At 40.7% G+C, this 13,307-nt stretch overlaps 1 non-coding gene across 1 annotated transcript, besides 4 other annotated features; it reads right to left on the bottom strand.

Annotated features, from left to right (window-relative positions):
• Window positions 1-175: 175 nt before the first annotated feature.
• On the bottom strand, window positions 176-278 carry LOC124900901 (small nucleolar RNA U13). The gene has a single exon (XR_007058543.1). It is a non-coding gene; the product is annotated as a small nucleolar RNA U13 (small nucleolar RNA).
• Window positions 1,228-1,297: an enhancer, noted in NCBI's record as "active region_21646". NCBI's record gives its function as "activates an Ori minimal core promoter by ATAC-STARR-seq in GM12878 lymphoblastoid cells {active_cell/tissue: GM12878}" and the evidence as "EXISTENCE:reporter gene assay evidence [ECO:0000049][PMID:35858748]".
• Window positions 1,428-1,477: an enhancer, noted in NCBI's record as "active region_21645". NCBI's record gives its function as "activates an Ori minimal core promoter by ATAC-STARR-seq in GM12878 lymphoblastoid cells {active_cell/tissue: GM12878}" and the evidence as "EXISTENCE:reporter gene assay evidence [ECO:0000049][PMID:35858748]".
• Window positions 1,588-1,637: an enhancer, noted in NCBI's record as "active region_21644". NCBI's record gives its function as "activates an Ori minimal core promoter by ATAC-STARR-seq in GM12878 lymphoblastoid cells {active_cell/tissue: GM12878}" and the evidence as "EXISTENCE:reporter gene assay evidence [ECO:0000049][PMID:35858748]".
• Window positions 1,728-1,777: an enhancer, noted in NCBI's record as "active region_21643". NCBI's record gives its function as "activates an Ori minimal core promoter by ATAC-STARR-seq in GM12878 lymphoblastoid cells {active_cell/tissue: GM12878}" and the evidence as "EXISTENCE:reporter gene assay evidence [ECO:0000049][PMID:35858748]".

The raw sequence follows: 13,307 nt of genomic DNA, 5'->3' as shown, positions 1-13,307 counted from the left end.
ACTCTTGAAAAATGAATAAATACATGAATATAGGAAAGTATAAAGTAAAAAATCAGATTTTCATTCATTTTATTACCAGTGAAGTAAACCTTTTTATAAATTACTTAGCCATTTCCACTAGTGTGAATTGCTTACTTTACTGTTACATTACTTATTTTTATTATTATTATGTTCATATCAGATGGTAATGTGCTCATGTCTTAACAAGGCTTGAGGGAAGCACATCTCACACCAGAGCATGAACCCCCAATCAGCACGCATATGAACTATGAAAGGATCAACTCTTATGTTACTCATTTTTATATTACTCATTTTTAACGATAGGTTGCATGCCTTCTTTATTATAGATTTGTAAAAGGGTGGTAAGGATATTAAATCTTTGTCATATATTTTATTCTTCTGATTTGTTATCCGTGTTTTCACCTTGTGGTATTATTTCTCACATAGAATTTTTAAGTTTTTACTTTTCTTTTCAACCAATATTTCCATTTGTTAAATGCCCTACAAGATCAGACGGGAGATCCCAAAGATTCAAAATCATGGTGATGGAGATGGAAATATAAAGATGACCAGGAACACAAGAATCTAAATAGAGTTGGCAGTTGAGTGGCACAGACAGCAGGGGCTGAAGTCACCGAAGTCCTAAGAGTGTGCACTGTAGGGTTAAGACTTGCTGGGTTTGAATTCTGGCTCTGTCAATCAGTAGCAGTTTGAACTCTGGAAACTTTAATCTTCCTGTTCCTTAGTTTCCCCATCTGTAAAATGTAGAATTTTTGTGTAGAATGTAAGATTATTATGTAAACTGTCAACAAATGCTAACTGTTTTTATTAACTGACAGTTTTCTTGTTTGTTTGTTTTTGTTTTTTTGAGACAGAGTTTTGCTCTTGTTGCCCAGGCTGGAGTACAATGGCACGACCTTGGCTCACCGCAACCTCTGCCTCCTGGGTTCAAGTGATTCTCCTGCCTCAGCCTCCCAAGAAGCTGGGATTACAGGCATGCACCACCATACCTAGCTAATTTTGTATTTTTAGTAGAGACGGGGTTTCTCCATGTTGGTCTGGCTGGTCTCGAACTCCCGACCTCACGTGATCCACCCACCTCAGCCTCCCAAAGTACTGGGATTACAGGCGCGAGCCACCGTGCCTGGCCTATCTGACAGTTTTTAGGGCCTGGTAAAGAAATGGGACTAGAACTGGTCCCAGGATGCGTATGAATGAGACTAGATGAGATAGGAGAGAAAATTCAAACCCAGGGACCCTGGGGGTACAAGTGGGGTCATGATCCAGGTGGCTGAACGCCCTGATCAGTGTCACAGAGGTCACCTGGAGGAGTGGCTCTGAGAGGTAGTTAAGAAGTACGTATCAGGGTGACTGAAAGCAACATTAGGGGAAAAAGAAAAACAAAGACAAGACAAGAAAGAACTCACCAGAATTTCTTGTAGAGAGGACAACTTTAAGTAAAAGAAGAAACTGGAACGAAAGTATCTAGCCACTGTGTGAAAGGAAATGAAACTCAAGTAGCAGAAAAAAAAAAAGACTGCCAACAGTTGGTACTGAAGATAAAATGTGCCCCAGCTTCACCACAATGGCCAAAATGCAAAAGACTGATAGTAACAAGTATTGACAAGGATGGGAAACAAAAGGAGCTAGCTGCTGGTAGGAATGCAAGTTGGAACAAACCTTTTGGAAAATGTTTGGCACTCTCTATTCAAGCTGAACATATGAAGACTCAGCAAGTCTACTACTGAATTTTTACAGAACAAAAATTCATATATTGGCTCACAGAAAGACATTTATGCTAATAGCAACAGTAGTCATAAAAGCCCCCAGCTGGAAACTACCCAAATGCCCATCCACTAGAATGAACAGACACTGTGCTATGTCCTCTCTATGGAAGACTGCACAGCAATAAGAATGATCACAGCATGGATAAATCATACCAAACTGAGCAAAAGTGATGGGCAAAAAGGAGCCTAGTGTGTGATTTAATATGATTCCACTTATATATAGTTCAAAAACAGGCAGAACTAATTTCAGTGTTAGAAGTGAAGATATGGTTACTCTTTGGGGAGGCTGTGAGGAAGTGGCTGTGGAGGCTGGTTTTGGAGGCACTGGGAGTGTTCAGTTTCTTAATTTGGGTGACGACTACATGCTTATGTTTGATTTATACAAAATCCATCACAGTGTATACTTACTACTTGTGCCTTTTTCTTTATGTATTTGTCAATTAAAAGTTTAGAATATTTGCCTATATTAGAAACTAACAAAAGTCATTGAAAATCACTTTGTTCACTTACTGAAGGTGTAGTTGGTTTATTGTCAGCTTCATGTTGATACAGACAATAATTTTTGAACCACCATTTCTATATTTATTAAGTATGGATAATAAGACATTTATGCTAATAGCAACAGTAGTCATAAAAGCCCCTAGCTGGAAACTACCCAAATTCCCATCCACTAGAATGAACAGACACTGTGTTATGTCCTCTCTATGGAAGACTGCACAGCAATCTTACCATAGACAATTTAGGTGGAAGAGCTTTGAACGTGGTGAAATCCCATACAATTTGCTAGGGAGATAATGTTTTGTTCCCATTCCCGATGTTTCCTTTCTATTAGCACAACCTTCAGCTCTCCCAAACTGCTGACCATTCTATCCCAGGAGAGTGAAACTGACAAGTTTGGTAAGTATAGAACATCCCTCTTCAATCTTTCCCTCTTGGAATCCAGACTGTCTAGCATATGGGTTATTGAACTATAGAGAAGCTGAGTGCATTCTCCGAATTTAGACGGGTAATAAATCACAGAGCCAGAATTTGAACTCAGGTTTCTCTTGGATTATACAGACCATGTTTTTAACCATTCCACTGTATTGCCTGCCTCATAAGTAATCTATTATATACAAAATAAAGAGCTGAGTTGTTTGGTACAGGTAAGAATACAATAGGAACTCAGGGAAGGGAGTCTATATAGGGATTAAAGATGACAACACAGGCTATGTGCAGCTGGAATCCCAATGCTTTGGGAGGTTGAGGCTGAAGGATTGCCCAGCAGTTCGAGACAAGCCTGGCTAACATCAGGAGACTCTATCTCTACACAAAATTTAAAAATTAGCTGGGCATGATGGTGCACACCTTTAGTCCCAGCTACCCAGGAGGCTGAGGTAAGAGGATTGCTTGAGCATGGTAGGTTGAGGCTGCAATGAACCATGTTCATGCCACTGCACTCTAGCCTGGGTGACAGAGTGAGACTGTCTCTCAAATTTTTTTCTTTTTCTTTCTTTCTTTTTTTTTTTTTTTTTTTTTTTTGAGACAGGGTCTCATTCTGTTGCCTAGGTTGGAATGCAGGGGCATGATCTTGGCTCCCTGCAGCCTCCACCTGCTGGGCTCAAGCAATCCTCCCGCCTCAGCCTCCTGAGTAGCTGGGACCACAAGCACATGCCACCACACCTAAATAATTTTTGTATTTTTTGTAGTGATGGGATTTTGCCATGTTGTCCAGGCTGTTCTGAAACTCCTGGGCTCAAGCCATCCACTTGCCTCAGCCTCCTAAAGTGCTGTTGCTGGGATTGCAGACATGAGCCACCATGCCTGGTAATTTTTTTTAATTTAAAAATTAAATTAAATTTAAAAGATGCCGGGCATGTTGGCTCACGCCTGTAATCCCAGCACTTTGGGAGGCCGAGGTGGGTGGATCACAAGGTCAGGAGATCGAGACCATCCTGGCTAACATGGTGAAACCCTGTCTCTACTAAAATACAAAAAATTAGCCAGGCATGGTGGTGGGCGCATGTAGTCCCAGCTACTCGGGAGGCTGAGGCAGGAGAATGGCATGAACCTGGTAGGCGGAGCTTGCAGTGAGCCAAGGTAGCGCCACTGCACTCCAGCCTGGGTGACAGCAAGACTCTGTCTCAAAAAAAAAAAAAAAAAAAAAATTAACAGATGATGACACCAGATTTTTCTATTCCCATACTATATGTGTCAGTTCTTGCTAAGTTCTCTCAGTGTAATCCCCAGGAGCCAGTATAGTTAAAATTAGCATTTACCTACTTCTAAGCCAGAATAGAAGAGGTGTCTGTTCGTGACAAAAATACAGTTAACAGGGTTTAATTCCAGTGCCCCATGCCAAGGCACTCACAGCCCGTTTCTCCATGGGTTTAGCTGCAGTGTGTCATTTACTGCTGCTGGTGTTTGCCTTTAAATTCTAGACTGCTTTGTAAGCCATTCTAAGGTATTAGAAGGGACAGGAAGCATATTTTCCAGCACCTGAAGTGTGAGAATAGGTAAAGGGTATGTTAACAGCATTTCATAAAAGATTATTTTTGAGGTATAATGTATATTCAATAAAAGCCTTGATTTGAGATGTTCAGTTAAATGGGTTTTGACAACTTTATACACTCATGCAACCACCATTCAAAACAAGATATAGAATATTTTCATCATCCCAGAATCATACTGTATAATTTTGTTTGTGTGCATCTGGCTTTCTTTCACTCAGCATACTGTTTCGGTAATTCATTCATGCCATTGCGCTTACCAGTAGTATTTAAATTTTTTTATTTTTTAATTTTTGTGGGTACATATTTATGGGGTACATGAAATAGTTTGGTACAGGCATGCAATGTGTAATAATCACATTATGGAAAATTGGGTATCCATCCCCTCAAGCATTTATCCTTTGTGTTATAAACAATCCAATTATACTTATAGCTATTTGTAAATGTATAATTAAATGAGTACTGACTATAGTTCACTCATTGTGCTATCATGTACTAGATCTTATTCATTCTTTCTAACTATTCTTTTTTTGTACCTATTAACTATCCCCACCTCCTGCTCACCCCCTCTGCCATTACCCTTCCCAGCCTTTGGTAACCATCCTATTCTCTATCTCCATGAGTTCAATTGTTTTGATTTTTAGAACCCACAAATAAGTGAGAATATGCAATGTTTGTCTTTCTGTGCCTGGCTTATTTCACTTAACAAAATGACCTCCAGTTATAATCATGTTTTTGCAAATGACAGGATCTCATCCTTTTCTATGGCTGAATTGTATTCCATTCTGTGTAGGTACCACATTTTCTGTATCTATTCATCACTGGATGGACACTTAGGTTGCTTCCAAATCTTGGCTATTGTGAACAGTCTGCAACAAACATCGGAGTGTAAATATCTCTTCGATATTCTGATTTCCTTTCTTTTGGGAATATACATAGCAGTAGGGTTGCTGGATCACATTATAGCTCTATTTTTAGTTTTTTGAGGACCCTCCAACTGTTCTCCATAGTGGTTGCACTAATTTACATTCCTAGCAGCATTGTACAAAGGTTCCTTTTCCTCCACATCCTCACCAGCACTTGTTATTGCCTGTCTTTTGGATAAAAGCCATTTTAACTGGAGTGAGATGATATCTCAGTGTAGTTCTGATTTGCATTTCTCTGATGATCAATGATGTTGAGCACTTTTTCATATGCCTGTTTACCATTTGTATATCTTCTTTTGAGAAATGTCTATTCAAATCTTTTGCCCATTTTAAAAATCAGATAATTAGAGCCAAGTACTATTGAATTGTGTAGATATACAACAGTTTGTTTATCCATTTTCCTGTTGATAGATATTTAGGTTGCATCCAGTTTTTGCTTGTTATAAATAAAGCTGCCATGAACATTCTTGTGATAGTCTTTGTGTGAACATATATTTTCACTGCTCTTGGGTAAATACCCAGGAGTGGAACTGTTGAATCACAGGGTAGATATATGTTTATCACTGTGAGAAACTGCTAAACAATTCTCCAAAGGGTTGAACCATTTTAATTCCTACCATCAATGTTGCTCTGCGTTCCTGAAGGAAAATTTTTTACAAAGCCAAACTGTGATGACATCTTAGTAAAGAGTATTTATCATGGTGTCTAGGGTGGGAAAAATTTCTGTGGGAATCATTTGGAGGGAGGAAAAAACAGCAAGAAGGAGCCGGGGGAGTGGATTGGCATTCACCAAAAAGCATTCACCAGGAAGCCAGCCTGGGGACACCACGTGGGCAGTGGGCTCCATAGCTACCAATCAAGGCTGTGTTCTCTGCTGATGGCATTCATTCCACATGCCAGGCCCTCTGTCTGTGATCCAAGAAATCTGGGCAACTTATTGTTTTTGTTCAAGTTGTACTTCATTGAAATTCTTTTTGGAGTGTCCCTTTCGGTCACAAGTTCCCTTTCTTGTGTGAGAGCCAAGATAGTGAAGCTTAGCACAGCAAGGCTTTTTGAATTTGTGCTGCTGACTTCACCACAAGTTGTGGTATCAGAGCTGGCTAACCTGACCTAGCTCGTGATCAGCTTTCCCTCAGCTTCTACAAGTAGAGAGCAACTTATTGTTTATCTTTTGAACTCTTCCCCCAGGTTACTTTTAGCAAGGTTTTTAGTTTGTTTTTTATGCTGTTATATTTGAGGGAGGGCAAGGCCTTTGGCACTGCTTTAAGGTGATTTCATTTTGAGACAAAACCTCATTCTCTGAGTTTTTCTTTAGATCATCATGACAGAGGCCAGAAATAGGTGAAGTAGCCCCCAAAAGAATAAATCTCAGCTTTCTTCAAGCGTGGTTTATCCTGTCTGTGTATTCCTTTTAATTCAATCCTGTTAGTAAACATTCTGCTAAAGTAGGTGACCAGCAGTCCTTATTCCTCAGGCAAATTCTGTATGGTAGACTAGGGTCCCAAATTTGGGCATAGCTTGGTTTCAACTCCTATACTCTTTATGCTGTTCCTCCAATTGGCACTCACTATAAGTGAGAAAAATACAAACCCCTATTTACTTCTCATTCCTTCTCTTTCAATGGAGGGTTTCTCCCTTCTCCTATCAAAAGCAAATTCTTTCATGTATGTTCTGGATTCTGTTCTGTCCTGCCTTCTCAGAGAATGTTTCTAACTGGTTATTTATTACCTGTAGCAGAAATCATTGTCCTCCTAAATCTGGGCTGCTTCTTTCATGGTATAAAGTTGTTGCTGGGAAGTAGTGGCCGCCCTACCAGTAATGACATTCCCTAACCTCCCTTGCCTTTAGGTGGAACCACATGACTAGTTCTTCTCAATATAATATGATTAGAAGGGGCATGGGTCCATCAGCTAGCTTCAAAAGCAGGAATGCTTCTTCTCCCTTTCTTATGGGTGGCAAATATCTGGGTTACCCGTGGCAAATCTGTACCAGTCTACAGCAACCTCAATTCTTGCCTCCTCAGAAGAAAGAATTCAACTGAGGGCCATAAGGCAGAAAAGAGATGGAGGTAAGTTTCAGAGCAAGAGTGGAAGTTTATTAAAAAGCTTTAGAGTAAGAATAAAAGGAAAGTACACTTGGAAGAGACCCAAACGGGCAACTTGAAGGACAAGTGCAGTGTTTGACCTTTTGACTTGGAGTTTTATATGCTCGCATATTTCTGGCATCTTGCACCCCTTTCTTTTGATTCTTCCCTTAGGGTGAGACAGCTGCATGTGCAGTGCCCTCCTTGTGCTTGGGAGGTGAGCATGCACAGTGTGTTTAAGAAGTTGTACACATGCTCACCTGAGGCTTTCTTCCCATTTCCAGTGGAATGCCCCTGGAAGGTCATACTCTGCCATTTTGTCTCTCAATGTGCATGCTTGGGTTCACTTGCCCAACTCCCGAAAGCTGCGGATTACCAGTTACAGGTGTTTCCTCTCTATATAGGAAGACTGCCTTTCCCTGGTGCTGGCCATGACCAAGTATTATTTTAGAGAGAAAGTTAACAACTGCCTGGCCATCACCTGATGGGCACCTGACCTTCCCAGTAGGGGTGTTGGGGGAGCCCTCTCCTGCCCCGCTCATGCCTGGCTAGCTACCTACTGTAACACCTTCTGCCATTTGATGCAGAGAGGCACAGCAAACTTGAAAACCAAGTATTAAGGGTGGCACTTCCACAAGATGGATGGAACCTGGGTTTCAGTATCACCATTAGAGAAGACCCAGGTACCATTAACAATATCTATTTGGGGCTGGTCTGAAGGTAGTGAGTTATCTCAATTGATTGGTCACAGTCAGTTACAGATCAAATTCCTCATTCTACTCTTTCCCCACTTCTCACTACTGCACTTGACTCATCTGAAAGAAAGAAAGAAAGAAAGAAAGAAAGAAGAGAAAAGGAAAGGAGAGAAGGAAGAAGAGAAAAAAACAGAACATCTGTTTTGAACTTCATGTGAGTGAGAAATGAATTTCTATTGTGCTTGACCTATTATATATTGCAGAGTCCTTTGGTTATATCATTACCCTGACTAATAAATTATTTTTCTTTCCTCTACATCTTCCATTTTTCTGTCTATCAGTATCTATGTATCTGCATTCAGACATGAGCAAGCATTTCCCAGCTTAAAAACAAACAAACCTTCCCCACACTTCACACCCATGTTCAGTTTTCTCTTTACTCTCTTTCATAGAAAATCTTATTAAGAATGTTGTATATGTGCAGTCTTAATTGCTTTGCCTTTCATTCACTCTTTACTGCAATTCACATGGCTTCTTTGCCACCACTCTATTAAAACAGCTCTTGTTCAAGGTCCTCAAAAGCTGTCATGCTTCCAGATCCAGCAGACACCTTTTGGTTCTCATCTTAACTCTCAGAAAGATTTAACACAGTTGACCACTCCCTCCTTTCTGACATACTTTCTTCTCTTGTGTCCTTGAAACCAACCTCTTACTTGAATAGCTCACAGGCATTTTAAATTTATCATATCCAAAACTGATCTACAATCTCATTCCTCTATTTTCTCATCTCAAAAAAAGCTACTTCCATCCATCCACTGGCTCATGCCATAAATCTGAGGCTAATTTTTGACACTTGCTGGAGAAAGTCACCTCCATAGACAGTCCAACAGGCCAATTTACTTCCAAATTTTTCTTAAATGTAAATACTCTTCTTGTTTGCACTCTTCCCCATAATCCTGTCCTTTCTCCATATATATGTTTTAAAATATAGATCAGATTGGCTGGGCGTGGTGGCTCACACCTGTAATCCCAGCACTTTGGGAGGCCGAGGCAGGCAGATTCACCCGAGATAAGCAGTTTGAAACCAGTCTGGCCAACGTGGTGAAACCCTGTCTCTACTAAAAAGACAAAAGTGAGCCAGGTGTGGTGGCTGGTGCCTATAGTCTGAGCTACTCAGGAGGCTGAGGTAGGAGAATTGTTTGAACCTGGCATCTTGGGAGATGGAGGTTGTGCAGTGAGCCAGAGACTGCACCACTGCACTCCAGCCTGGGCAACAAGAGCGAAACTCTATCAAAAAAAAAAAGAAAAATCTATATATAGATATATAGATAGGTCAGATAATGTTGCTTGCCTTTAAAAATCCTTCAGAAGATTCACACTGCACTTAGGAGAAATTCCCTAATTCTGTTTTTCTTTCCAACTTTTACTTTCAGTTCAGGGGGTACATATGCAGGTTACATGGGTAAATTGCATGTCACAGGAGTTGGGGTACAGATAATTTTGTCACCCAGGTAATCATCATAGTTACTCGAGGTAGCTTTTCAAACCTCACCCTCTCCCAGCCTCCATCCTCAAATAGGCCACAGGGAACCTCTTGTTCCCTTTTTCGTATCAGTGTTTAGCTCCCACTTATAAGTGAGAACATCTGGTGTTTGGTTTTCTATTCCTGCATTAATTCCCTTAGGTTAATGCCTAATTCTTAATATCACTGTTAGACCCTCACATAATCTTGCCCTTTCCTATGTCTTTAGCTTTATCCACCACTCACTTTCCCTTGCTCACTATATTCCAGTTTTTCTTTCAAATGTTTGAAATGAAAAATCTCTCTCCTACCTCAGAACTTCTCTAATTCAAAGGGCAAATATAAACAACTTAAGCGAAAAAGGAAATATGGTAGTGCATGCAAGTGAGGAACCTAGGAGGCAGCTGGCTTCAGGCGTGGCTGGTTCTGGGAACTCACATTATGACCTTATTGCTCTGTTGCTTCATCTTTTAACTCTGCTTATCTTTGATTTAATTCCTTCTTATCACAGACTGTCATTATGGAGGCAGAATATTCACTGTCAGAGATGACTGTTTGTGAAGTAAGGAATGAACCTTACTCAAAGAGTGATCTGGCCTTTGCTCTTGGTTTCTGGGAGGTAATCTTTAGGTCCTTGGAATGTCATGCCTGACAAGAGTGTCTCTGTTTGCCTGGGGGCCTTGGGCCAGCCAGATAGTAACAATGTGATTTAGAGCTTTGTGATTGTGGCTTTGAGCCACACCACCAAGGTTACTTAAGGTGGGGACTTTGGGTACTGGAGACTGAAATCAGTCACGTGGGGACTTTGGGTACTGGAGACTGAAATCAGTCACGTGGCTAATCAATTTTGCCTGTATGGAGCTCCAGTAAAACTCTGGACCCTGAGGCTTGAGAGAATTTTCTGTGTGGCAGTACTTTGCATACCGTCACAAACTTACTCCAGGACAGTAATGCTGTCCTGACTCCATGGGGAGAGGACAACTGGAAGCTCCACATCTGGCACCTTCTGATATAGGAGTTAAAAAGAAATTATTTACGCAGATAGTGAGGGTAAGGAAGTCCTCAGTAAGGTTTTCCTTTTAATGAAAAGCAGCCACCAAATCATTTATTTTGTAACAAAGCGCAGCCTGGAAAATTGAGCTGCAGACATAGAAGAGAAAGCTAGAAGCTTGCACGGGTGAACGCTGGCAGCTGTGCCCATAGGAAAAGGCTACCTGGGACTAAGCATGTTCAAAATAACAGCTGTATCTTCCCTTCTCTTTGCCAGATACATGTACAGTAAGGAGCAGACAACATGGTGCCAGCCAAGTGGAAAGCCCATTTGCATAATCAGATTAGGGTGGGGTGACCAGCCTTCCCCACCCTGTATGTAAACATCACACCTGGTCCAACCAATCTGTGGGCCCTATGCAAATCAGACACTGCCTCCTCAAGCGTGTCTATAAAATCCAGTGCCCTCCCACTACACACTGTACTTCCTTTTCAGGCATCTCTCTCTCTCTCTCTCTCTCTCTCTCTCTCTCTCTCTCTCTCTCTCTCTCTCTCTCTCTCTCTCTTTTGCCTGTTAAACCTCTGCTCTTAAACTCACTCCCTGTGTGTCTGTCGATGTCCTTAATCTTGGTGTGAGACAATGAACGCAGGGTATTTACCCTAGACAATGATACCACTTCACTTCCAGGCCCATGTGTCTCTTCCTTGGCCTGCATTTGACTTGTATTCTTTCCCTGCAGTCAGCTGTAACCATGAGTACAGCAACTTTCTGTGAGCTCTGTGAATTCTTCCAGTGAATTATCAAAGGTATGTTTTGGGAACCTCCTGAGCTTGCTGTTGGTGTTGGAAGTAGGTAGTCTTATGTAGACTGTGCTCCCTCTAACTATACAGTTGGCTGACTCTCACACCATGACACATTCTCAGCTTAATAACTGCAGCTAAATGATTCAGTTTTTCCTGATATTATACAAGAAAGGCTCCAGAGAACAACACTTTGTCTGGCTAGGTTAAAACAAGTGTCCATTCCTGAACTGATCAATACCCTGGAGAAAAGAGTACTGCAGCAGGTCTTGGTCACGTAGCAGCCTAAACTACAAGAATTTAGATTACCAAAAGAATGGGGATAGGGATGTTGAGTGAACAAAAACAACAGGCATCCAATATGGAACATCTTCAACAGCATTTTACTTTGTTTGGAACATTTCTGATTTCGAGTCCCCTCCCTCACCATCACAATTTCCTAATGATTAAGTCTACTCATCATTTGGGTTTCAGATTATCTGTCACTAAACCAGAGAGGCTTCTCTAATGTCTTATAGCTTTTGTCAGTTGGTAATTATATATTTCTTCATTTGATTGTTAGTTGAATATGTATATTTTTAGAGACAGGGTCTTGCTGTATTGCCCAGGCTGAAGTGCAGGGGTTATTCACAGGCATGATCATTGCACACTACAGCATTAAACTCCTGGGCTCAAGCTATCCTTCTGCTTCATCCTCCTGAGTAGCTGACGTATGTCACCTCGCCCAGCTTAGTTTAATATTTTAATGTCACTTTGACTCTAAGCTCCATGAATGCAGGACCACATCTATATTGTTCATCACATTGTAGGTGCTCAAACACATTTTCGATCAAATGAATACAAATGAAAGAAAAATCTGTCTGTGGATTACCTTCATCTCAGATCTTGTGCTAATTCCTCAAATGTTCTTTTTTAGTAAAAGGTCAGTAAATGAATATCTGATTAAACTTTGGACTCACTTGTTGAATCAGTGAAAGAAACTTGCTTCAGTTTTGCAGTCAGGAATTCAAGAACTGCACAACCCTCAGAAGTGAAAAATCACTGGGTAGATTTGCCTCATCATCCTTTATTGAAACAAAATACATAATATCTGTTTGGAAATATGTCTCATGATAAATTAATAAAACTATTATTAAATGTTTTATTTGATTTCAGCTACACAGTAACCCAGTAAGATAAGTAACACAGGCAATTCTGTTTAACAGATGGAAAAAAAAAAAAAAGCCTGAGAACCTGAAAGGTGAGATGAATTACTCAGTATCACATGAGAAACTTAGTGGTCAAACAAGATGATTACTCAGCGATCCTGAAGCGTAGTTCTATATTCCTTTCCACCAGCCCAATGTTGCCCGTCCTCTCAACCTTGGTGAAAACACATTGCTATCTCCTCTGTTATGGGATGTCACACAATATTCAATGCAGTGAATTTGAATATGAACAGATATTAAGTTTTCCCTATTTTATGAACATTCTGGTTACTTGGCCTTTCCTTGTGACATTCTTTGTTACACTTTCCACTTTTTAGTTAGTGATTTACTCCATCCCTGTACTCAATGCCAGTGGTTATGGGATTTTCCCCTTCCCCATCCCCATCCCAGAGGCACTCTGGCCAATGAGAGTCTGGCATCCTCCAGGCAGGCACTCTTTCCCAGTGGACTTGAACCTGGGACAATAGGAAGCTGGCACTTCTGTTTAGTCAGCTTGCTCCCATGTAGAACCTGAGACTAAAACCAATCTGTGGAAGGCAGAGCTGAAAGATGAAGGAAATCCATGACCTAGTGATACATTTTGAACCCTGAATCCAGCTGTGCCTAAAGCCCATACTATCCCTGGATTTTCAGTTACACAATCCAGTAAATTTCCTCCCTTGCATAAGTAGGATTTTCTGTCTTTATCATACAGAAGGATCTTAAGTACAATATCCTATAATATTATACTCTCATTCAATTGCATTCCCATACTCTTCTTCAAGAGGAAGAGAAATTAGTGAAATTATAGCTATTTCCCAGAGAGT

Source organism: Homo sapiens, chromosome 4 (genome assembly GCF_000001405.40).
Source record: "Homo sapiens chromosome 4, GRCh38.p14 Primary Assembly".
Classification (NCBI taxonomy): domain Eukaryota; kingdom Metazoa; phylum Chordata; class Mammalia; order Primates; family Hominidae; genus Homo; species Homo sapiens.
The sequence above is the reverse complement of the archived record's forward strand: the minus strand, read 5'-3'. Positions and strand labels throughout refer to the sequence as shown.